General features: G+C 50.8%; 1 protein-coding gene across 1 annotated transcript, besides 3 other annotated features; it reads left to right on the plus strand.

Moving 5' to 3' along the window:
• Window positions 8,609-8,868: a silencer, noted in NCBI's record as "silent region_10869". NCBI's record gives its function as "represses an Ori minimal core promoter by ATAC-STARR-seq in GM12878 lymphoblastoid cells {active_cell/tissue: GM12878}" and the evidence as "EXISTENCE:reporter gene assay evidence [ECO:0000049][PMID:35858748]".
• On the plus strand, window positions 8,721-14,700 carry SELENOW (selenoprotein W). The gene is made up of 6 exons (NM_003009.4): window positions 8,721-8,832; window positions 10,743-10,767; window positions 10,882-10,935; window positions 11,126-11,200; window positions 11,308-11,406; window positions 14,308-14,700. Exons 1-5 carry the CDS (start codon window positions 8,804-8,806, stop codon window positions 11,386-11,388), a joined length of 264 nt encoding a protein of 87 aa, NP_003000.1. The 5' UTR covers window positions 8,721-8,803; the 3' UTR covers window positions 11,389-11,406; window positions 14,308-14,700.
• Window positions 8,879-9,018: a silencer, noted in NCBI's record as "silent region_10870". NCBI's record gives its function as "represses an Ori minimal core promoter by ATAC-STARR-seq in GM12878 lymphoblastoid cells {active_cell/tissue: GM12878}" and the evidence as "EXISTENCE:reporter gene assay evidence [ECO:0000049][PMID:35858748]".
• Window positions 11,086-11,671: an enhancer, noted in NCBI's record as "H3K4me1 hESC enhancer chr19:48284325-48284910 (GRCh37/hg19 assembly coordinates)". NCBI's record gives its function as "activates a minimal SCP1, AML or CMV promoter by ChIP-STARR-seq in naive H9 embryonic stem cells {active_cell/tissue: H9 hESC(naive)}" and the evidence as "EXISTENCE:reporter gene assay evidence [ECO:0000049][PMID:30033119]".
• Window positions 14,701-22,312: the final 7,612 nt, after the last annotated feature.

The following is a 22,312-nucleotide window of genomic DNA, read 5'->3' on the forward strand; positions in this document are numbered from 1 at the left end:
GGGAACTGGAAATGATCCATATCTTGATCTGGGGTGGTTAAATGATATTATACATATGGAAAATTTGCTGATCTGTACATCTGAAGATTTATGTAAAAAATATATTTTTAAAAGAAAAAAGACCTCACTGAGAAGGTGGCATTTGAGGAAGTCACCTGCACTGCAGAATGCTCCCAGACACCTGCAGATACCGTATACCTTTGTGTAGCCAGCACACAAATAACGGGATGGCTACTTTGAGTACCGTATTGACCAGAATAAATTATACCAGATTCCCGCCTCGCACCGTATGCATTTGTATTGTGGTACAATACAAATTTCAGTGTGCCTATGTTCCTGGCAAACTGAAGAGGCCTGACGGGAACTCAGTGGGTCTTTGGAAAATTCTGCACCCAGTGGAAGAAGAGCCTATAAGCCCTACTTAAAAAAAAATTTTAAATCTGAAATATGCCTTTTCCCTTTAAGGAGGTACAAAGGCTTATTTGAGCAGGAAATTAAACAGACACCCCCTCCCCACCAACATGCCTGAATTCCAAGCACCTGGTGCTGGCCCAGAGAGAGAGAGGGGAGTTATCGCAGGGAGAGTGAGATAAGAATTTCCTTGGTTGGTGCTAACAAATGACCGAGTTTGCTTTCCTGTTTCACATACGGTTTTTACATGATTTAATTGTTTTAAATGTTTGTGAACATTCAGATAAGTGCCATGTGGTTTTTTTGTTGTTGTTGTTGAGACAGAATCTCGCTCTGTCACCCGGGCTGGAGTGCAGTGGCGCGATCTCGACTCACTGAAACCTCCGCCTCTCAGGTTCAAGCAATTCTTCTGCCTCAGCCTCGCCTTGTGGTTTTATAGATGGTTTTTGTGAAAATGAATAATGTTCGAAATTGTATTCATTAATATAAGCGACTCAACAGTAAGGTTTTTTTTTTTTTTTTTTTTTTTGAGACAGAGTCTTGCTGTTGTCGCCCAGGCTGGAGTGCAGTGGCACAATCTCAGTTCACTGCAACCTCCGCCTTCGGGTTCAAGCCATTCTCGTGCCTCAGCTTCCCTAGTAGCTGGGATTACAGGCATACACCGCCACGCCTAGCTAATTTTTGTATTTTTAGTAGAGACAGGGTTTCACCATGTTGGCCAGGCTGGTCTCGAACTCCTGACCTCAGGTGATCCACCCACCTTAGTCTCCCAAAGTGCTGGGATTACAGGCCTGAACCACTGCATTCAGCCAACAGTAAACTTACTAAATATTTTCCTAAAGATGCATTTATCTGACAAGGATTTGAGTGCTTGTCACGTGCCACTCACTGTTTAGTTTCTGGGCACATACCAGGAAAGAGAACCAAAAAGAAAAACTCGAGGTGCACATTCCAGTAGGGAGAGATGGAACAGAACATGAAAAAATCATGCTTAGGCTGGGCGTGGTGGCTCATGCCTGTAATTCCAGCATTTTGGGAGGCCAGGGCTGGTGGATCACGTGAGCCCAGGAATTTCACGCTGGCCTGGGCAACATAGTGAGACTCCATCTTTGTGAAAAAAATACAAAAATTAGCCAGGCATGGTGATGTGCACCTGTAGTCTCAGCTACCTGGGAGGCTGAGTTGGAAGGATCACCTGAGCCCAGGAGGTCGAGGTTGCAGTGAGCCATGATCATGCGACTGTACTCCAGTCTGGGCAACAGAGCAAGACTCTGTCTCAAAAAAAAAAAACCAAAATCATTATTGGTAAGATACATAGAATGTCAGAGGTGACGAGGGCCATGAGGAAGAGGGGGCACAGAATGTTGGGGGAGGGGTTGCAGTTTTAAATAGGATGTCAGGGGAGGTCACAGTGAAAAGTGACATTTTGGCCAGGCATGGTGGCTCAGGCCTGTAATCCCAGCACTTGGTGGGAGGCTGAGGCGGGCAGATCATCTGAGGTCAGGAGTTCGAGACCAGCCTGGCCAACATGGTGAAACCCCGTCTCTACTTTTATAAAAATTAGCTGAGTGTGGTGGCAGGCACCTGTAATCCCAGATACTAAGGAGGCTGAGGCAGGAGAATCGCTTGAACCCGGGAGGCGGAGGTTGCAGTGAGCTGAGATTGTGCCACTACACTCCAGCCTTGTTGTCCAGCACTCCAGGCAACAAGAGCAAAACTCCATCTCAAAAAAAAAAAAAAAAGAAAGAAAAAGAAAAGAAAAGAAAAGTGACATTTGAGCAAAGATATGAAGGAAGCGAGGAGAGAAACTGGCAATTATCTGAAGGAAAACTGTTCCAGGCAGAGGGCACAGTAAATGCAAAAACTGTGAGGTGGATACGTGCTACAATGTGTGTGAACCTCAAAAACGTTATGCTAGGCCGGGTGCAGTGGCTCACACCTGTAATCCCAGCACTTTGGGAGGCCGAGGCAGGTGGATCACTTGAGGTCAGGAGTTCGAGACCAGCCTGGCCATCATGGTGAAACCCCGTCTCTACTAAAAATACAAAAATTAGCCAGGCGTGGTGGTGGGCGCGTGTAATCCCAGCTACTCGGGAGGCTGAGGCAGGAGAATCACTTGAACCCAGGAGGCGGAGGTTGCAGTGAGCTGAGATCGCACCACTGCACTCCAGCCTGGGCGACAGAGTGAGACTCCATCTCAAAACAACAACAACAAAAAACCCAAAAACGTTATGCTAAGTCAGATACAAAAGGTCACCTGTTGTACGAGTCCATTTATGTGAAATATCCAAAACAGGCAAATCCTTTAAGGCAAAAAGCAGATTCATGGAGCCAGGGACTCCTGGGGAGATGAGAAGTGGAAAGGGGCTGCTTGATGAATACGGGGCAACGTCTAGGGTGAAGAAGATATCTTGGAGCTAGACAGGAGTGATGGCTGCAAAACAGTGTCAATGCACAAAATATCCCTAATGGTACATTTTAGCTTACGTGTATCGTTTGTATCGTTTATTTATTTATTTATTTTGAGATGGAGTCTTGCTCTGTCACCCAGGCTGGAGTGCAGTGGCGTGATCTCGGCTCACTGCAACCTCTGCCTCCCAGGTTCAAGTGATTCTCCTGCCTTAGCCTCCTGAGTAGCTGGGACTACAGGCGCCTGCCACCATGCCCAGCTAATTTTTGTATTTTTAGTAGAGACGGGGTTTCACCATATTGGCCAGGCTGGTCTCGAACTCCTGACCTCAGGTGATCTGCCCGCCTCGGCCTCCCAAAGTGTTGGGATTACAGGTGTGAGTCACGCCGCGCCCAGCCTAGGAATATATTTTGAAAGTAGATCCACCGTAACTGGCCGAGGTACAAGGGGAATAAAAAAGAGCCAAAGGTGACTCCAAGGTTTCTGGACTTGGTCTAGAGTTGCCATTGCCTGAGATGGGGAAGACTGAGGAAGGAGGGGCTCAGAGGTGGGGCAGGTGCAGGGGAGAAATGGGAACTCGTGATTGAGATGCCCATTAGACGCCCGAGTATAGATGTGAAGTAGGCAGTTGGAGGTAAAAATTTGGAATTCAGAGAAAATTCCTGGGCTGGAAATATGCATTTGGAATTTGCTTATATTCACAACCTTTAAAACGTTGGGAGTGTGCCTTGTGTCTTCAACCTGTGAAAACTGCCCATTCTCTCCCTACCTAATGTAGTAGAATTTTTTTGTTTGTTTGTTTTTTATTTTTGAGACAAGAGTCTCACTCTGTTGCCCAGGTTAGAGTGCAGTGATGCAATCTTGGCTCACTGCAACCTCTGCCTCCCGGGTTCAAGCGATTCTCCTGCCTCAGCCTCCCGAGTAGCTGGGATTACAGGCGCCCGCTACCACACCCGTCTAGTTTGTATTTTTAGTAGAGACGGGGTTTCACCATGTTGGCCAGGCTGGTCTTGAATGCCTGCCTGCCCTCAAGTGATCCGCCCACCTCGGCCTCCCAAAGTGCTGGGATTACAGGCATGAGCCACTGCGCTTGGCCAGGGCTGTCATGTATTGAGAACAAGGTGTGCTTTTGTATAGCTGTGTGGCTGAATAAAGGTGTTTGATGTGTTGTGTCTCTGGGTTGGGTTTGTCTGGATGTGCAATTGTGTAAATGGGTGAAGGAGATCACTTGTGTGTTACCATTTGTCATGTGTGTGTTTGTGTGTGTGAAAGAGAGAGAAAAGGGGAGGGGGATGGCCTCCCAGCCCAGAAGTCATTACTAATTCCTCCAGCATCCCCCACTTCTGGGCAACAGAGGCCCTTTTGTTCACAGTGGCAGAGGCAGTGATGTCCCTTCTCTCTTGAGGCCCCTGGCAAGTTCTCAGCCCTGAGCCTGGTCAACAAAAGGTCCTGTGAGCTTTTGCATTGAGCCCGGCCACTTGCAGAGTGTGCTGAGGACATCAGTGAGGGCACGGGACCTGTGACAACCACAGTGGCTTGGCCAGCGATGGAGGAGCCAGGGGCTTAGAGAGGGCCTTCTTGAGGATAATGTTGTTACAAGATAATTATGGGAAAAAAGGGAAAACCATGACTGTCCTACAGATCTAAAAATGAACACATGGGGCGGACATGATGGCTCGTGCCTGTAATCAGCATTCTGGGAGGCCGAGGTAGGAGGGTTGCATGAGCCCAAGAGTTTGAGACCAGCCTGGGCAACATAGTGAGACCTCATATCTATTCTTATTTTTATTTATTTTTAGTTTTCATTTTTTCTTGAGATGGAGTCTCCCTCTGTCACCCAGGCTGGAGTGCAGTGGCATGATCTCAGCTCACTGCAACCTCTGCCTCCTGGGTTCAAGCGATTCTCGAGCCTCAGCCTCCTGAGTAGCTGGGACAACAGACATGCACCACTAGGTCCGGCTAATTTTTTTTTTTTTTTTTTTTTTTTAGTTTTAGTAGAGATGGGGTTTTGCCATGTTACCAGGCTGGTCTTGAACTCCTGGCCTCGAGTGATTTGCCCGCCTTGGCCTTCTGAAGTGCTGGGATTACAGGCGTGAGCCACCACGCCTGGCTCCATCTCTATTTTTTTTTTTTTTTTTTTTGAGACGGAGTCTCGCTCTGTCACCCAGGCTAGAATGCAGTGGCGCGATCTCTGCTCACTGCAGGCTCCACCTCCCGGGCTGACGCCGTTCTCCGGCCTCAGCCTCCGGAGTAACTGGGACTACAGGTGCCCGCTACCATGCCTGGCTAATTTTTGTATTTTCAGTAGAGACGAGGATTCACCATGTTGGCCAGGCTGGTCTCGAACTCCTGACCTCGTGATCCACCCACCTTGGCCTCCCAAAGTGCTGGGATTACAGGCGTGAGCCACCGCGCCCAGCCTGAATGATGTTGTTATGGGTTGAATTGGGTCCACTCCCAAAATTGGCATATTGAAGTCTTAACCCACCGTACTTTAGAATGTGACCTTACCTGGAAGTAGGGTCGTTGCAGATATAATCAGTTGGGGTCATACTGGAGTAGGATGGTCCCTAAACCATCATGACTGGTGTCCTTAAAAAATTCGGAAATTTGAGCCTGGAGAGGTAGCTCATGCCTGTAATCTCTGCTCTTGGGGAGGCCGAGACAGGAACATCACTTAAGCCCAGGAGTTTGAGAGCAGCCTGGACAACATAGCAAGACCTTGTCTCTACAAAATATTTTAAAAAATTGGCTGGGGCCGGGCCCGGTTCTCAAAGCCTGTAATTCCAGCACTTTGGGAGGCCGAGGTGAGCAGATCACTTGAGGTCTGGAGTTGGAGACCAGTGTGGCCAACATGATGAAAGCCTGTCTCTACTAAAAATACAAAAATTAGCTGGGCATGGTGGCGCATGCCTGTAGCTCCAGCTTGGGAGGCTGAGGCAGGAGAATTGCTTGAACCTGGGAGGCAGAGGTTGCAGTGAGCCGAGATTGTGCCACTGCACTCCAGCCTGGGCAACAGAGTGAGACTCCGTCTCAAAAAACAAACAAACAAACAAACAAAAAAATATATATGGTATGTATATATTTATTTTGTATATATATTTTTGTGTATATACATATCTATATATATAATTTGTATTTATAGAGATGGGGTCTCACTATGTTGCCCAGGCAGAGGTTTGAGTTTTTGTTGAGGGCTCTGGGAGTCACAGAAGATAGCTCTATTTGTGGGTCATTCACTTTTTGCCCAGCCCTGTGTTGCTTTACATGCACTTGCTCATTAAATCCTCCCAAGATCAGGGGGATCAGACTGAGGTGGGTGGAGTCGACTTGAACTTTGCTTAGGGTTCTAAGAGGTAAAGACTAGGGGATCTGGGGACAGGGAAATCCCAGATAGAGTTAACCTTTTTTTTTTTTTTTTTTTTTTTTTGATACAGTCTCGCTCTGTCGCCCAGGCTGGAGCGCAGTGGTGCAATCTCAGCTCACTGCCTTCTGTCTCCTGGGTTCAAGTGATTCTCCTGCCTCAGCCTCCCAAGTAGCTGGGATTACAGGCGTGCACCACCACATTGGGATAATTTTTGTATTTTTAGTAGAGACAGGGTTTCACCATGATGGCCAGGCTGGTCTTGAACTCCTGAGCTCAGGTGATCTGCCTGCCTCGGCCTCCCAAAGTGCTGGGATTACAGGTGTGAGCCACCTCATCAGGCTGAGTTTATTGAGTTATCCCCGTGTGCCAGTCAGAGCTCTAGTTCTTCCTACCTGTATAAACTCGCTTACTGCTCACATCAACCATCTAATGGAAGTGCTGTTTTCATGTTGTTTCCTGCCCTTTGTCTCTACCTGCCAGATCACTCCCATGAAGGAAGGGACTTTGTTTATTTATTCATTGCTGTATCCCTGGAAACTGGGACTGCAGGTGGTTATGAAGTACCTATTTGTTAAATGAGTGAACATTTCCTGTAGGCAATTACACCCAACTTCCAAATGGAGAAACAGGCTCAGAGATAAGCCCCTGCACCCTCACTCCTCAACTCAACTGCCTGTTTCTAGCACTTTCCATGACGATCCCCTCTGCACGGAGAGGGTTCATGGGGAGTGACTATTGTTCTGTAATGAATGACCAGGCTGTGCCAGGTCCGGCAGTAGGCCTTTTCCTTTTCCTTTTTTTTTTTTTTTTGAGATGGAGTTGAGTTTTGCTCTTGTCGCCCAAACAGGAGTGCAATGGCGTGATCTTGGCTCACTGCAACCTGTACCTCCTGGGTTCAAGTGATTCTCCTGCCTCAGCCTCCCGAAGAGCTGGGACTACAGGCATGCGCCACCACGCCTGGCTAATTTTCATATTTTTAGTAGCGACGGGGTTTTGCCATGTTGTCCAGGCTGGTCTCGAACTCCTGACTTCAGGTGATCCACCCACCCTGGCCTCCCAAAGTGCTGGGATTTCAGGTGTGACCCACTGTGCCTGGCCAGGCCTTTTCCTTTCTTTCTTTTTTCGAGACAGTGTCTTACTCTGTTGTCCAGGCTGGGGTGGCAGTGGCACAATCACGGCTCACTGCAGCCCCAAACTCCTGGGCTAAAGTGATCCTTCCACCTCAGCCTCCCCAGTAACTGGGAGTACAGGTACATGCCACCACACGGACTAATTTTAAAAGTTTTTGTAGAGATGGGGTCTTGCTATGTTGCCCCAGCTGGTCTCAGACTCTTGGGCTCAAGCAGTCCTCCTGCCTCGGCCTCCCAAAGCATTGGGATTACAGGTATGTGCCACCGTGCCCAGCCGCAGCAGGCCTTTTGTTTTTTTAGAGAGGGTCTTGCTTGGTGGCCTAAGCTGGAGTGCAGTGGTGCAATCACGGCTCACAGCAGCTTCCAAACTCCTGCGCTCAAGCGAGCCTCCTGCCTAAGCCTCTCAAGTAGCCTGGGACTGTAGGCACACACCACCACGCCCGGCTGATTTATTATCTATTTATTTATTTGAGGTGGAGCCTCGCTCTGTCACCCAGGCTGGAGTGCATTGGCCTGATCTTGGCTCACTGCAACCTCCGCCTCCCAGGTTCAAGTAATTCTCCTGCCTCAGCCTTCCGAGTAGCTGGGACTACAGGCACGCGCCACCACGCCCATCTAATTTTTGTATTTTTAATAGAGACGGGGTTCCTCCATGTTGGCCAGGCTGGTCTTGAACTCCTGACCTCAAGTGATCCGCCCGCCTCGGCCTTCCAAAGTGTTGGGATTACAGGCGTGAGCCAACGCACCCAGCCACTAATGTATTATTATTATTATTCTGTAGAGACGCAGTCTGGCTATGTTGCCCAGGCTGGTCTTGAATTCCTGCCTCTGCCTCCCAAAGCGCTGGGGTTACAGGCGTGAGCCACCGCGCCCTGCGGCTGCAGGTCTTTATAAGGCAACTGTGGGCCCTGGACCGCTCCCTGAAAACCTCCCCCTCAACTCCCTGTCTCCTCCCTCACCTGGTCTACCCCGAATCCTTCCCCTCTCGCCCCCTCGCCCTCTCCAGGGGAGGTGAGGGACTCAAGAATCGCGCCCTGCTTCTGTCCCCACCGCGCCGTCCCCAAGCCCACGCAGTGAAAAGACCACCCTTGAGGCTGATTCCGGGTCCAGCTGGGAGCGGCCAGCCGTAAATCACCGCCCCCGTGGGCCGTACCATTCTGGCCGGGGGGACCTGGGAGGGGACGCGCGGAGGGCTTCCCCCGGGGACTGCCTGTATCGAGACTCTCTCCAGCCCAACAGGAGGATGGGAAGGAGACTTGTGTGGGGGCCTCGGGCTGGCGGGTCGCGGGTTCCTTATCCTCCGCCTTGGCGCCTCTCCGCCCACCGCCCACCGCCCCTCCCTGGCATTGGTTGGCGCCAGGGGAAGCCGAGGCTCCATCCTTTCTGCGCAGGTTCCCGCCGCACTCGCGCAGACCTAGCGCGTCCAGGTGGGAGGTTAGTGTGGCCCGGGCGTCCGCTCCTCAGCGGATGTGGCAGCCCCGAGCCATGGCTCTCGCCGTCCGAGTCGTTTATTGGTAAGCCCAGCGGCCAGCGGCCCCCGTCCCCGACCCCCGCCGGGACCCGATTCTCGGAGCCGGGGTCAGGGAGCCCCGGGGAGAGGACCCATGGGAGCCCTTGTATGGGAAAAGGGAGCCCCTGTATGTGGGTGGGGTGGGCGTACGGAGGGGCGAAAAACAGAGGGCGGTCGTCCCTAGGCCCCGTCTTCGACTTGTGACACGCTGGGCATCTCGGGTTATAAAAGGTGGGGCTGAGACGAGTGTGTGTCAATTTCGAACCCCCGACTCCGGGGCTCCGCTGGGGAAGGGGCTGGGGGTCAGCTTTGTAAAGGGACCTAAGGCTCCTCCACCCTAAGGCTTCCCCTCCCCCAATATCCCGAACAGTCGCGGGGTGGGGACAGTGAGAGCCCAGAAGGTTCGAGAATGTCTCAGCCTGTGTTTCAGAAGCACTTGAATTGTTGGCCTCTGCCCAGTGGGTTCCCTTGGCCACGAACCCCACTCCTTTTCTGGCCTCAGTTTTCCGTCTGTGGCAAGAGGGAGGCTCTGTGTCAATACCGAACACGCTTAATTTCTGCAAGTCTCAGGAAGGGTATAATAGGATAGGATATAAATTACGTTCTCTCCACTCCCCAGCACCTAATACTGTGTGGCATGCTGTAGGTATTTAATAAATACGTGTTCAATGAATTTATCCTCCCAGGAATCCCTTAAGAGAGGGGAATTTTAGGCCAGGTGCCGTTGATCACGCCTGTAATCCAAACACTGGGAGGCTGAGGCGGGTGGATCGCTTGAGCCCAAGAGTTCGAGACCAGCCTGGGCAACCCAGGGAGACCCCCCCCTCGTCTCTACAGAAACTTAAAAAGTTAGCCGGGCATGGTGGCGCACTCCTGTAGTCGCAGCTGCTTGGGAGGCTGAGGCAGGAGGATCACTGGAGCCCGGAAGGCGGAAGTTGCAGTGAGCTGAAATCGTGCCACTGCACTCCATCCTGGACAGCAGAGCGAGACTCTGTCTCAAAAAAAAAAAGTAAATTAAAGAGAGGAATTTTAGTTCTATGTTACAGGTGAGAAAACTGAGGCTGGGACTGGGGTGGGGGCAGGTCAGTAGCTTCAAGTCTGGACTGCAGGTGACAGGGGTAACTGGAACCTGGGTTTGTCGGCAGCTTTCCAACGTCTCTGCCTGCTCGACAAAGCAGAGGCAAGAGTGACATTTTGAGACGCCTACCAGGCCTGTACACCAGATTCCAGTCCCGAAATAGCCTGCTGTGGGGGTTGGGTGAGCCTGTATTTCACCCTGGGGACTGGGAAGGTGTTCAGAATCTAGGAGCTGCGGGGCCGGGTGCGGTGGCTCCTGCCTGTAATCTCAGCACTTTGGGAGGCTGGGGCGGGCCGATCCCCTGAGGTTAGGAGTTCGAGACCAGCCTGGCCAACATGGTGAAAATACAAAAATTAGCTGGGCGTGGTGTAAGAATCCAGGAGCCGCAGGGTTTTCCTTGGAGTGCTGCGAGGGCTGTGGGTGAGGGTGGTGGGCACAGGGAGTGGGTGGGGACCTTACGTGTGCTGTTCTTCTCCTAATCCAGTTCTCCTGGTTTTCCCCCGTCCCCGTCTCTCGTATTTGTGGTCTCCTTGTCTCCTCTCTCCCCTTTTTCCCCTCCCCCTTCTCTGTCTCTTGCTTGGTGTTGGTTTTCTGTGTGTCTCTGTGTGTCCCCGCGCCACCCCCTGTGCTGTGTCCCAAAACTCTGCCTGGCTGGTGCCTGTCTTCTCTCTTGAGGGCATCTGTCACCTCTTCTGCTTGGTCATCTGTGTTCCTCTTTATTTCTTCCTGGCCCCATCTTGCTCTCTCCCCACACCGCCTGTGTCTACCCTCCTCTCCCCGATCCCCCACTTCTCCCTCTCTCCCCTGGGCCCCAATGTCTTGGACTCTCCTACCAGTGGCGCTTGAGGCTACAAGTCCAAGGTAAGCAGAGTGGATGCCCGGGGGGCATTCCTGGGAGCTGGGGAGGGGTAGAGTGCATATTGGGAGGGGGCTGACTGGTATGACCCCTGCTGTGACCTCTCACCGCGTTTTCAGTATCTTCAGCTCAAGAAGAAGTTAGAAGATGAGTTCCCCGGCCGCCTGGACATCGTGAGTCTTGGGATGGGGAGAAAGACTTGAGCACAGCCACTGTGTCGGTCCGTTAGGCCTGGATGGCACTGCAGGGGGGTTAGGTCAGCCCTACGCCCTTCACCCATGTTCTCATCCCCCTGGGAAGGGGAGGGTCTCCCCAAGAGGACATCTTAGCCCCTCCAACATCTCCCCTACCCCCTTTCCTCAGTGCGGCGAGGGAACTCCCCAGGCCACCGGGTTCTTTGAAGTGATGGTAGCCGGGAAGTTGATTCACTCTAAGAAGGTATGTCTGTCTGTCCGTCCTGCCTGGTTTTGGGGCTAGCATGGGGTTGGGGCTGAGGTTGGTGTCTCGGTCCCAGCTCACCCCTTCCCTCTTCCTCCCCTCCCTAGAAAGGCGATGGCTACGTGGACACAGAAAGCAAGTTTCTGAAGTTGGTGGCCGCCATCAAAGCCGCCTTGGCTCAGGGCTAATGCGCCCTGAAGGCAGAGGTGAGGGGGCCCACTAGACAGGGACACCACCCTTTGGATCTTCTCCCTGCCCCATGCTCTGACTCCTTGGCCCAGGGTGGAGAGCCTGGGAGATGGGGGGGACATCACGTGTGTCCCCAGAGCGAGCGGGATAAAGTTAGACCCGGTTGGTGGAGGACAACAACTGAGATGGGGTCAGAGGTGTGCAGGGTGACAGCTGAGATGGTGATGGGTCAGAGATATGCAGGATGACAGCTGAGATGGGGTCAAAGGTATGCAGGATGACAGCTGAGATGGTGATGGGTCAGAGGTGTGCAGGATGACAGCTGAGATGGTGATGGGTCAAAGGTATGCAGGATGACGGCTGAGATGGTGATGGGTCAGAGGTGTGCAGGATGACGGCTGAGATGCTGATGAGTCAGAGGTGTGCAGGATGATGGCTGAGATGGTGATGGGTCAGAGGTGTGCAGGATGACGGCTGAGATGGTGATGGGTCAGAGATGTGCAGGATGACAGCTGAGATGGGGTCAGAGGTGTGCAGGATGACAGCTGAGATAGGGTCAGAGGTATGCAGGATGACAGCTGAGATGGGGTATGCAAGATGACAGCTGAGTTGGTGGTGGGGTCAGAGGGCTGCCCTAAAACAGCTCTCCTGGTTTGGGAATGAAAAGTGCTAGCAACCCAACGGTTCAGAATCCGGAACTCTAGGTCTTTGTCCCATTGCCAAGAAACAGTTCCCAACCCAGCAGGTCATGTGACAGCGTCCGGCCAAGTTCCCAGCATGTTTTGAGACAGAATTTCCTTGCTCCACAATTTCGAGTAGGTCACTAATTATCACCGGGCTCTGAACCTGAGAATTAGTTCTAGGAATATTCCAGACCTGATCCAGCTCCAGAAACTTACCCACTTTGGAACTGAACATGAGTCCAAGAATGCTCTAGAAACAAATGCTAACTCTAGAATGGATTGTCTGCTCCAAAAAAACCCTAGAGCTGACTCCCAGTTCTCCCCATAGAGCCGAGAATGAAATACACCACCAGCTCCCAACACACTGTAAACCTGAGCCCCCCTTCCCAACCCAGCAATTGAAAAATGTGAACCAGCTCCTAAGCACTAGAATTGACCACTAGTTCCTGGAGTTGGCTACTGGTTCCTTATCACTGTTTTTCTTTCTTTCTTTCTTTTTTTTTTGAGATGGAGTCTTGCTCTGTCTCCCGGGCTGGAGTGCAGTGGCGCGATCTCGGCTCACTGCAGCCTCTGCCTCCCGAGTTCAAGCAATTCTCCTGTGTCAGCCTCCCAAGTAGCTGGGATTACAGGCACATGCCACTATGCCCGGCTAATTTTTGTATTTTTAGTAGGTCTGATCCTGTTGGCCAGGCTGGTCTTCAGGTGATCCACCTGCCTTGGCCTTCCAAAGTGTTGGGATTACAGGCGTGAGCCACCGTGCTTGGCCTCCTTAAGCACTCTGAACCAAGTATTGTTTCCAGCCTAATACATTGTGGAACAAGTGGCAATTTCTATATGAACCTCAGGAACAAAGAACTACTTTCCAGCACCTTCTGAGTCTGATTTTCCAGTTTGTAAGCCAGTATGGTCCAGATAAGCGTGAAACCCAACCCATTCTAGAACAGTTACTAGCCCTTTTTCTGGTCTCTGGCACTGCAGGGCCTGGAGCATAGTTTATTTTTTGAGGTGGAGTCTCGCTCTGTCGCCCAGGCTGGAGTACAGTAGTGTGATCTCGGCTCACTGCAACATCTGCCTCCTGGGTTCAAGGGATTCTTGTGTCTCAGCCTCGTGAGTAGCTGGAATTACAGATGTCTGCCACCATGCTGGGCAAATTTTTTTTTTTTTTTCTAAGACGGAGTCTCTGTCGCCCAGGCTGGAGTGCAGTGGCGTGATCTCGGCTCACTGCAAGCTCCGCCTCCCGGGTTCACGCCATTCTCCTGCCTCAGCCTCCCAAGTAGCTGGGACTACAAGCGCCTGCCACCACGCCTGGCTAATTTTTTGTATTTTTTAGTAGAGACGGGGTTTCACCGTGTTAGCCAGGCTGGTTTTGAACTCTTGACCTCAGGTGATCCGCCTGCTTCGGCCTCCCGAAGTGCTGGGATTATAGGCGTGAGCCACTGCGCCTGGCCATACTTTTTACTCCCCTCTAACCTTCAGCACCAGTTCCCATTCCATGTTGATCTAGAACAGAGTATCCCATCCCAACACACTGTGGACCCAAGTACCAGCTCCCAGTGTGCCTTGTGCCAGAAAACTAGTTTTCAAATGCGTTAAACTCAAGTTCCATTTCCTAAAATTCTTTACCAGAGCAGAATGAGGTCATGTTCAATGTGAATTGGGACGTGCCAATTTGAAGTAATGCAGAAACGATATCTTGCCTTATGTGCAGGTCTGAAACAAAGCAAATCCCTCTAACATAAAGGAAAAGAAAAATGGAATTGCCTAATTCCAAAGCTGCATCAGCTGAATGCATTGTGGACTGTTGCTGTTGAGCGTGGGGTGGGGTGCCACCATGCAGGCTTTGAATTCTTTTTTTTTTTTGAGACAGAGTCTCGCTCTGTCACCCAGGCTGGAGTGCAGTGGCGCGATCTCAGCTCACTACAACCTCCACCTCCCAGGCTCAAGCGATTCTCCTGCCACAGCCTCCCAAGTAGCTGGGACTACAGTTGTGCACCATCACGCCCAGCTAATTTTTCTAGTTTTTGTAGAGATGGGTTTTTTTCACCATGTTGCCCAGACTGGTCTCAAACTCTTGGGCTCAAGTGATCCGCCCGCCTCAGCCTCACAAAGTGCTGGGATTACAGACGTGAGCCACCACACCCGGCTATCTTTCTTCCTTTTAACATGGGCCCCACGCCTGGCCTCTGTTCCTGCAAACTGACTCCCTACCCCAACCACCTCTTTTTCTCTCCACAGTCCAGGGACCTTGACCCAGCCCCTCTCAGCAGACGCTTCATGATAGGAAGGACTGAAAAGTCTTGTGGACACCTGGTCTTTCCCTGATGTTCTCGTGGCTGCTGTTGGGGGCAGAGATTGACGCCCCCGGTCTTTGCCTCTGAGCGGGAGAGTCTGTGTGTATGTGTCTTCCCCGGAATCCACACCACCCCACCCTCCTCCTGTCCCGTGGTTTCATCATATCTCTTTGCATACCCCATGTCTTCCCCAGTTGTCCCCTGGAGTTTGGGGGGACATCCCGCCTCAGGCATCCTTCTCAAGGGGAAGCCAAGAGAGGCATCAGGATGGGTGGGTTTCTGATTGTGGCAACGTTTGCAACCGTTCACGATTCAATAAATATTGGATGAATTTAACTGAATGTGCCTGTGAGGAGTGTATCTTGTTTTACCCCTGTGCCTCCTCCCTCCAGGACCCCGTCCCAGAAATTAGCAACCACGTGTTGAGTGCTCAGTGCACCAACCCTCTGTAGGGAAGCACCTTACTGCAATGCTGAGGTTGTTATTTTTTAAGACAGTCTTGCTCTGGAGTGCAGTGGTGCGATCCCAGCTTACTGCAGTGTCCCTCTCCTGGGTTCAAGTGATTCTCCCGTCTCAGCTTCCCGAGTAGCTAGGACCACAAGTGTGAACTGCTATGCCTGGCTAATCTTTTTCTTTTTCTTTTTCTTTCTTTTTTTTTTTTTTTTTTGAGACGGAGTCTTGTTCTGTCGCCCAGGCTGGAGTGCAGTGGTGCGATCTTGGCTCACTGCAACCTCCGCCTCCCGGTTCCAGCGATTCTCCTGCCTCAGCCTCCCATGTAACTGGAATTACAGATGCCCGCCACCACACCCAGCTAATTTTTTGTATTTTTAGTAGCGATGGGGTTTCACCATGTTGGCCAGACTGGTCTCAAACTCCTGACCTTGTGACCCTCCCGCCTCGGCCTCCCAAAGTGCTGGGACTACAGGTATGAGCCACCGCGCCGGACGTAATTTTTGGATTTTGTAATAGAGACAGGGTTTCACCATGTTGGCCAGGCTCGTCTTGAACTCCTGACCTCAGGGGATCCTCCCGCCTTGGCCTCCCAAAGTGCTGGGATTATAGGCGTGAGCCACCATGCCCGGCTGTTTTTGTAACTATTGATAGCCATGAAGTGCATGGACACTTTCCTCAAATCAGGTACAATTCTAAACTGTTTCACTCTCAAACCTTGACCCACTCATTCTGGGAGGACAGAAATAAAATTGTTCCTCCCCCAAGTCAAATGCTGCGACTCCTGAAACCCACCACATTCCATGGATCTCTGCTCAGTGACATCTGGGAAACACAAGACAGCCATCAACAATAGCAACAAGAGGCCGGGTGCAGTGGCTCACGCTTGTAATCCGGCACTTTGGGAGGCCAAGGTGAGCAGATTGCTTGAGGCCAAGAGTTCAAGACCAGCCTGGGCAACATGGTGAAACCCCACCTCTACTAAAATTAGCCCAAGTGTGGTGGCAGGTGCCTGTAATCCCAGCTACTCGCCACCTGCCACTAGGTTGAGAACCGCTTCAACCTGGGAAGCAGAGGTTGCAGTGAGCTGAGATCGTGCCACTGCACTCCAGCCTGGGCGACACACTGAGACACTGTCTCAAAAAACAAAAAAACCCCAAACCAAATGAACAATAGCAACAAGAAACAAGCCCCCACATGGCTTCATTTCTAATGATTCTGAGGATTTTCTTAGTATGACAGTCCTTTGGTGGTATAGTTCTTTATTTTTTTTCTAAGACAGGTTCTCTGTCACCCAGGCTAGAATGCTGTGGTAGGATCATGGCTCACTGCAGCCTCGACCTCCTGGGCTCAAGTGATCCTCCTGCTTCAGCCTCCTGTGTATCTGGAATCACAGGCACATGCCATCATGCCTGGCTCTTTTTTTTTTTTTTTTTTAGAGATGGGGTCTTGCTATTTTGCCCAGGTGGTCTCAAACTCCTGGCCTCAAGTGATCCTCCTCCTTTGGCCTCCCAAAATGCTGGGATTACAGGCGTGAGCCACGGAGCCTGGCCTGGTGGTGTAGTTCTTTTTTTTTTTTTTTTTTGAGATGGAGTCTCGCTGTGTCGCTGAGGCTGGAGTGTAGTGGCGCGATCTTAGCTCACTGCAACCTCCACCTCCCTGGTTCAAGCAATTCCCCTGCCTCAGCTCCTGAGTAGCTGGGATTACAGGCATATGTCACCACGCCTGGCTAATTTTGTGTGTGTGTGTGTGTGTGTGTGTGTTTTGTTTTTCTTTTTTCAAGTAGAGATGGGGTTTCACCATGTTGGCCAGACTGGTCTCAAACTCCTGACCTCAGGCGATCCCCCCGCCTCGGCCTCCTAAAGTGTTGGAATTACAGGCGTGAGCCACCGCACCGGGCCCTGGTGGTGTAGTTCTAAGCTAGGTAGAGAGAGATCACAGAGAGTGGCATCTGAACATCTGAGACTCAATGGAGGTTGACCGTAATCCCATTTGCCAACTGGTCTCACATTTGGGGTCAGCCCAGTATCAACATCCTCAGCTGTCAGCACTCCACCTGTTAGCCAAGGCACACTGTGGCACCCATTCATCATTTAAATGACACAAGACTTTTCAGTTCTTTGTTTAAGCAAGAATTCTGGCAGGGCTGGGCTAGGTTGGCTTATGCTTCAGTGGGAACCTAAATCTAAACGAACCTAAAGCAGAACGAACCTAAATCTCCATGGATGAACACAGCACATGCAAAGCCCTCTCCAGAGCAACAGTTCTCCTGCTTCTAGTCAGGAATCTAGCGCAATGTTGTCCAATAGAACTTTCTGCACGATGGAATTTTTCTCTTTTTTTGTTTTTTTGAGATGGAGTTTCACTCTTGTTGCCCAGGCTGGAGTGCAATGGTGGGACCTTGGCTCACTGCAACCTCTACCTCCTGGGTTCAAGCAATTGTTCTGCCTCAGTCTCCCAAGTAGCTGAGATTACAGGCGCCTGCCTGTAGCTACCATGCCTGGCTAATTTTTTTTTTAATGTATTTTTAGTAGAGATGGGGTTTTACCACGTTGGCCAGGTTGGTCTCAAACGCCTAACCTCAGGTGGTCCACCCACCTCGGCCTCCCAAAGTGGTGGGATTACAGGCGTGAGCCACCGTGCCGGCTAGCATGATGGAATTTTTCCATATCTGCCCTGCCCAACACCATAGCAACTGACTTCATGTTACTGGTGACAACTTGAAATGTGACACGACCAAGGAACTGAATGATTATATTTGGCCGGGCGCAGTGGCTCACGCCTGGAATCCCAGCACTTTGGGAGGCTAAGCTGGGAGGATCACTTGAGCCCTGGAGTTTGAGACCAGCCTGGGCAACATAGTGAGAACCTGTCTCTACAAAAAATACAAAAAACAGCTGGGCATGGTGGTGCATGCCTGTAATCTCAGCTTCTTGGGAGGCTGAGGTGGGAGGATTGCTTGAGCCCGGGAGGTCGAGGCTGCAGTGATCTGTGATGGCACCACTGCACTCCAGCCTGGGCGACAGAGTGAGTGCCTGTCTCAAAAAAAAAAAAAAAAAGAAAAATAACATTCAACCCATGTAATATGTGGCTAGTTGTTATCGGACTGTGCAATTCTGTTATTCTGTTGCTGCACCTGGCCCCAAAGCAGCTTTAGTAGACAGAGCGGAGACAGCGTAGGCAATCTTGCATTGGCTTTTCTTTTCTCTTTTCTTTCATTTTTTTTTTTGAGACAGAGTCTTGCTCTGTTGCCCAGGCTGGAGTCCAGTGGCATGATCTTGGTTCTCTGCAACCTCCACCTCCGGGGTTCAAGCGATTCTCTTGCCTCAGCCTCCTGACCAGGTGGGACTACAGGCGCACGTCACCACGCCCAGCTAATTTTTGTATTTTTAGTAGAGACGAGGTTTCACCGTGTTGGCCAGGCTGGTCTCAAAGTCTTGACCTGGTGATCCACCCTCCTTGGCCTCCCAAAGTGCTGGATTACAGATGTGAGCCACTGTTCCCGGCCTGCTTTTCTTTTTTTTAAAGAGACGAAGGTATCGCTGTGTCGCCCAGGCTGGAGTGTTAGTGGCATGATCACGGTTCACTGCAGCCTGGAAGTCCTGGGCTCAAGCGATCTTGCCACCTCAGCCTCCGTAGTAGCTGGGACTACAAGCGCACCACCACTTCCAGCTAATTTATTTTTTTTCATTTTGTTGGGGAACTGGGCGAGGATGGGGCAGGGTGGGAGGCCTTGCTATGTTGCTCAGGCTGGTCTCGAACCTGGCCTCAAGCGATCTTTCCCGCTTCGGCCTTCAGAGCAGGCATTGGCTGCTAAAAGCATCAGCCAGGAAGTGATGCGTATCAGCTTTCGTCACAGCCCATTGGCCAGAACCAGTTACGCAGCCCCGCCCACTTTGAGAACCCCTACCACGAAACCCCTGCCTACCTGCAGAACTTGGCTGGGGAACTTAGTCTTCCTGTGTTTAGGAAAGGGATGAGAACTTGAAAACTTGGTGAGCACTACAAATATCTACCAGGGCTCTTATTTTAATCGTACCGTATGCATGAAAACGCCAGCATCGGATTTTGGCGTAATCAAGACAATTCACACCTTCAAAGAATTCAGCCTGACCATCACCCAGCCTGAAAAGGGGAGACACCGTGAATTCCTTTCTAACAGCGACAGCATGTGGCCGCGTCTGAGAACTGCATCTTCTCAGTTCACCTCGGATCACCGCGGAAGACCAGGAATCACTGTGGAATCCCTGTGGGTCACCAGGAATCACTTCCGGTCATCTAGATTTTAGGGTAGTCAAGTGAATCACCATCTTTGAATTGGTGACATGACACTTTCTTTTTAAAACTTAAAAATTAAAATTTAGCCGTGCGCGGTGGCTTACGCCTGTAATCCCAGCGCTTTGGGAGGCCGAAGAGGGCGGATCACGAGGTCAAGAGATCTAGACCAGTCTGGCCAACATGGTGAAACCCCGTCTCTACTAAAAATGCAAAAATGAGCCGGGCGTCGTAGCTCCCAGCTACTCGGGAGGCTGAGGCAGGAGAATCGCTTGAAGTCGGGAGGCGGAGGTTGTAGTGAGCTGAGATCGCGCCACTGCACTCCAGCCTGGGTGAGAGTGAAAAAAAAAAAAAAAATTAAAATTTTTCTAGGTACATAGTAGGTGTATATATTTATGGGGGACATGGGCTATTTTGATACAGGCATCCAATGCATACTAATAACATCAGGGTAAATGAGTTATCTATCCCCTCAAGCATTTAACTTTTGTGTTACAAATAATCCAATTAAACTCTTTTTTTTTCTTTTTTCTTTTTTTGAGACGGAGTCTTGCTCTGTCCCCCATGCTGGAGTGCAGTGGCAAGATCTCGGCTCACCGCAACCTCCGCCTCCTGGGTTCAAGCGATTCTCCTGCCTCAGCCTCCCGAGTAGCTGGGATTACAGGCATGCGCCACCACGCCCGGCTAATTTTTGTATTTTTAGTAGAGATGGGGTTTCACCATGTTGGCCAGGATGGTCTCGATCTCTTGATCTTGTTTATCCGCCCGCTTCGGCCTCCCAAAGTGCTGGGATTACACGCGTTAACCACCGCACTTGGCCTTTTTCTGTATTTTTAGTAGAGGCGGGGTTTCACCATGTTGGCCAGGCTGGCCTCAAATTCCTCACCTCAGGTGATCCACCCACCTCGGCCTCCCAGAGTGCTGGGATTACAGGTGTGAGTCACTGTGCCCGGCCACACAGGCGTGAGCCACACTGCGCCTGGCCAGGAGATTCTTTTTAATTTAGCAGTTTTCAGAATATTAAATTGGAGCCTCAACAACTTTCTCTAGTTTTTTTTTTCTCTCTTTTTTGAGGACCATTGTGAACCAATGGACTTTCATGCATCTGACGTCTTTCAATTCATTGCAGCTCTTCTTTGTAAGCTCAAGTTGTTCAGCCTTTGGTTTCTTTTCTTTTCTTTTAAAAAATATTATTATAGAAACGGGGTCTTGCTATGTTGCCTGGCTGGTCTCGAATTCCTGGGCTCCGGCGATTTGCCCGCTTCGACCTCCCAAAGCAGGAGGGGCTTTTGTTTTATCCAAGCTCTCTGTCCCCGCCCCCTCCCCCAGTAGCCTGTCGGGTGTCTCCTGCCTCCAAATCGGATCTAATTCTCTCTCTGCTCTGCTGAGACTGGCCCTGGCTTAAGAGGACTGGAACACTTGCTACATGGGACCAGGACAGGGTCAGAGAACCAGCGCCGGGGAGACCCAAGGGCCAGGATTGCCACCAGGGGGCAGCAGAGAGGCAGAGTAGCAGAAGGAAGAGGTGGGGGTGCTTCCATCTGACGGCGGGCAGTGGGAGGGCGGGGTGGTGGATGAGGAGGGGATGGTATAGAGGGAACAGTCCTCCCACCCCCACCAGAGTGGGTTAACAGTACTTACATGGTCACTGGATGCGTATTGAAGAATGAGCCCGGGCTCAGTGATTCACGCCTGTAATCTCAACACTGGGAGGTTGAAATGGGAGGGTCTCTGGAGGTCAGGAGTTCGAGACCAGCCTGGGCAATGTGAAAAAACCCCGTTCCTACCAAAAATACAAAAGATTAGCCAGGCGTGGTGGCACGCGCCTGTGGTCCCAGCCACTCGGGAGGCTGAGGTGGGAGGATCCCTTGAGCCCAGGAGGTGGAGGTTACAGTGAGCTGAGATCACACCCATTGCACTCCAGCCTGGGCGACAGAGTGAGACCCTGACTCAAAAAACAAACAAACAGACGAAAAAACAACAACAACAAGATAATTGAAGAAGATGTGGGCCAGGCGAGGTGGCTCACGCCTGTAATCCCAGCACTTTGGGAGGCCAAAGTGGTTGGATCACTGGAGGTCAGGAGTTCAAGACCAGCCTAGCCAACATGGTGAAACCCCGACTCTACTAAAAACACAAAAATGGCATGGTGGTACGTGCCTGTATTCCCAGCTACTTGGGAGGCTGAGGCAGGAGAATTGCTTGAAACTGGGAGGCAGAGGTTGCACTGAGCTGAGATCGCATCACTGCACTCTAGCCCCTGGGTGACAGAGAGACTTCATCCCAAAAAAAAAAAAAAAAAGAGAGAGACTGACAGAAAAAGACCAAGAACATTCTGTATGTGATGCTATTATTAGCTATAATAATGGCAGATATGGTTTGTTGATCACTGACCATAATCAGTGTTAAGATTTACATGATTTGACTCATCTAACCCTTCTCCAAACCCTCCCTTTCACCAAAAAATCTTTCATATTAAAAATTCACAGTTTTTTTTTTTTTTGAGATGGAGTCTCACTCTGTCACCTAGGCTGGAGTGCAGTGGCATGATTTCGGCTCACTGCAACTTCTGCCTCCTGGGTTCGAGAGATTCTCCTGCCTCAGCACCCCAAGTAGCTGAGACTACAGGCACGCACCACCACACTCAGCTAATTTTTTATTTTATATTTATTTATTTTTATTTTATTTTATTTTTTTGAGATGGAGTTCCGCTCTTGCTGCCCAGGTTGGAGTGCAATGGCGCGATTTCTGCTCACTGCAACCTCTGCCTCCCAGGTTCAAGCAATTCTCCTGCCTCAGCTTCCCGAGTAGCTGGGGTTACAGGCATGTGTCACTACGCCCAGCTGATTTTGTATTTTTAGTAGAGACGGGGTTTCTCCATGTTGGTCAGGCTGTTCTCAAACTCCCGACCTCAGGTGATCTGCCCGCCTCGGCCTCCCAAAGTGCTGGGATTACAGGTATGAGCCACCGCACCAGGCCCAATTCACAGAGTTTTAAAACATCAACTTTTAAAGATAGATGCTTTCTTTACATTAGATAAAACACACTTGTCTTAAGTGTTCAGTATAATTGCTTTGATAAATGTATGCAACTGTCTGGGTGCGGTGGCTCATGCCTGTAATCCCAACACTTTGGGAGGCTGAGGCAAGAGTATCACTTGAACCCGAGAGTTCAAGAGCATCCTGGGCAACATAGCAAGACCCTGTCTCTACAAAAAATAAAAA

The sequence above is a fragment of the Homo sapiens genome, chromosome 19, assembly GCF_000001405.40.
Source record: "Homo sapiens chromosome 19, GRCh38.p14 Primary Assembly".
Lineage (NCBI taxonomy): Eukaryota > Metazoa > Chordata > Mammalia > Primates > Hominidae > Homo > Homo sapiens.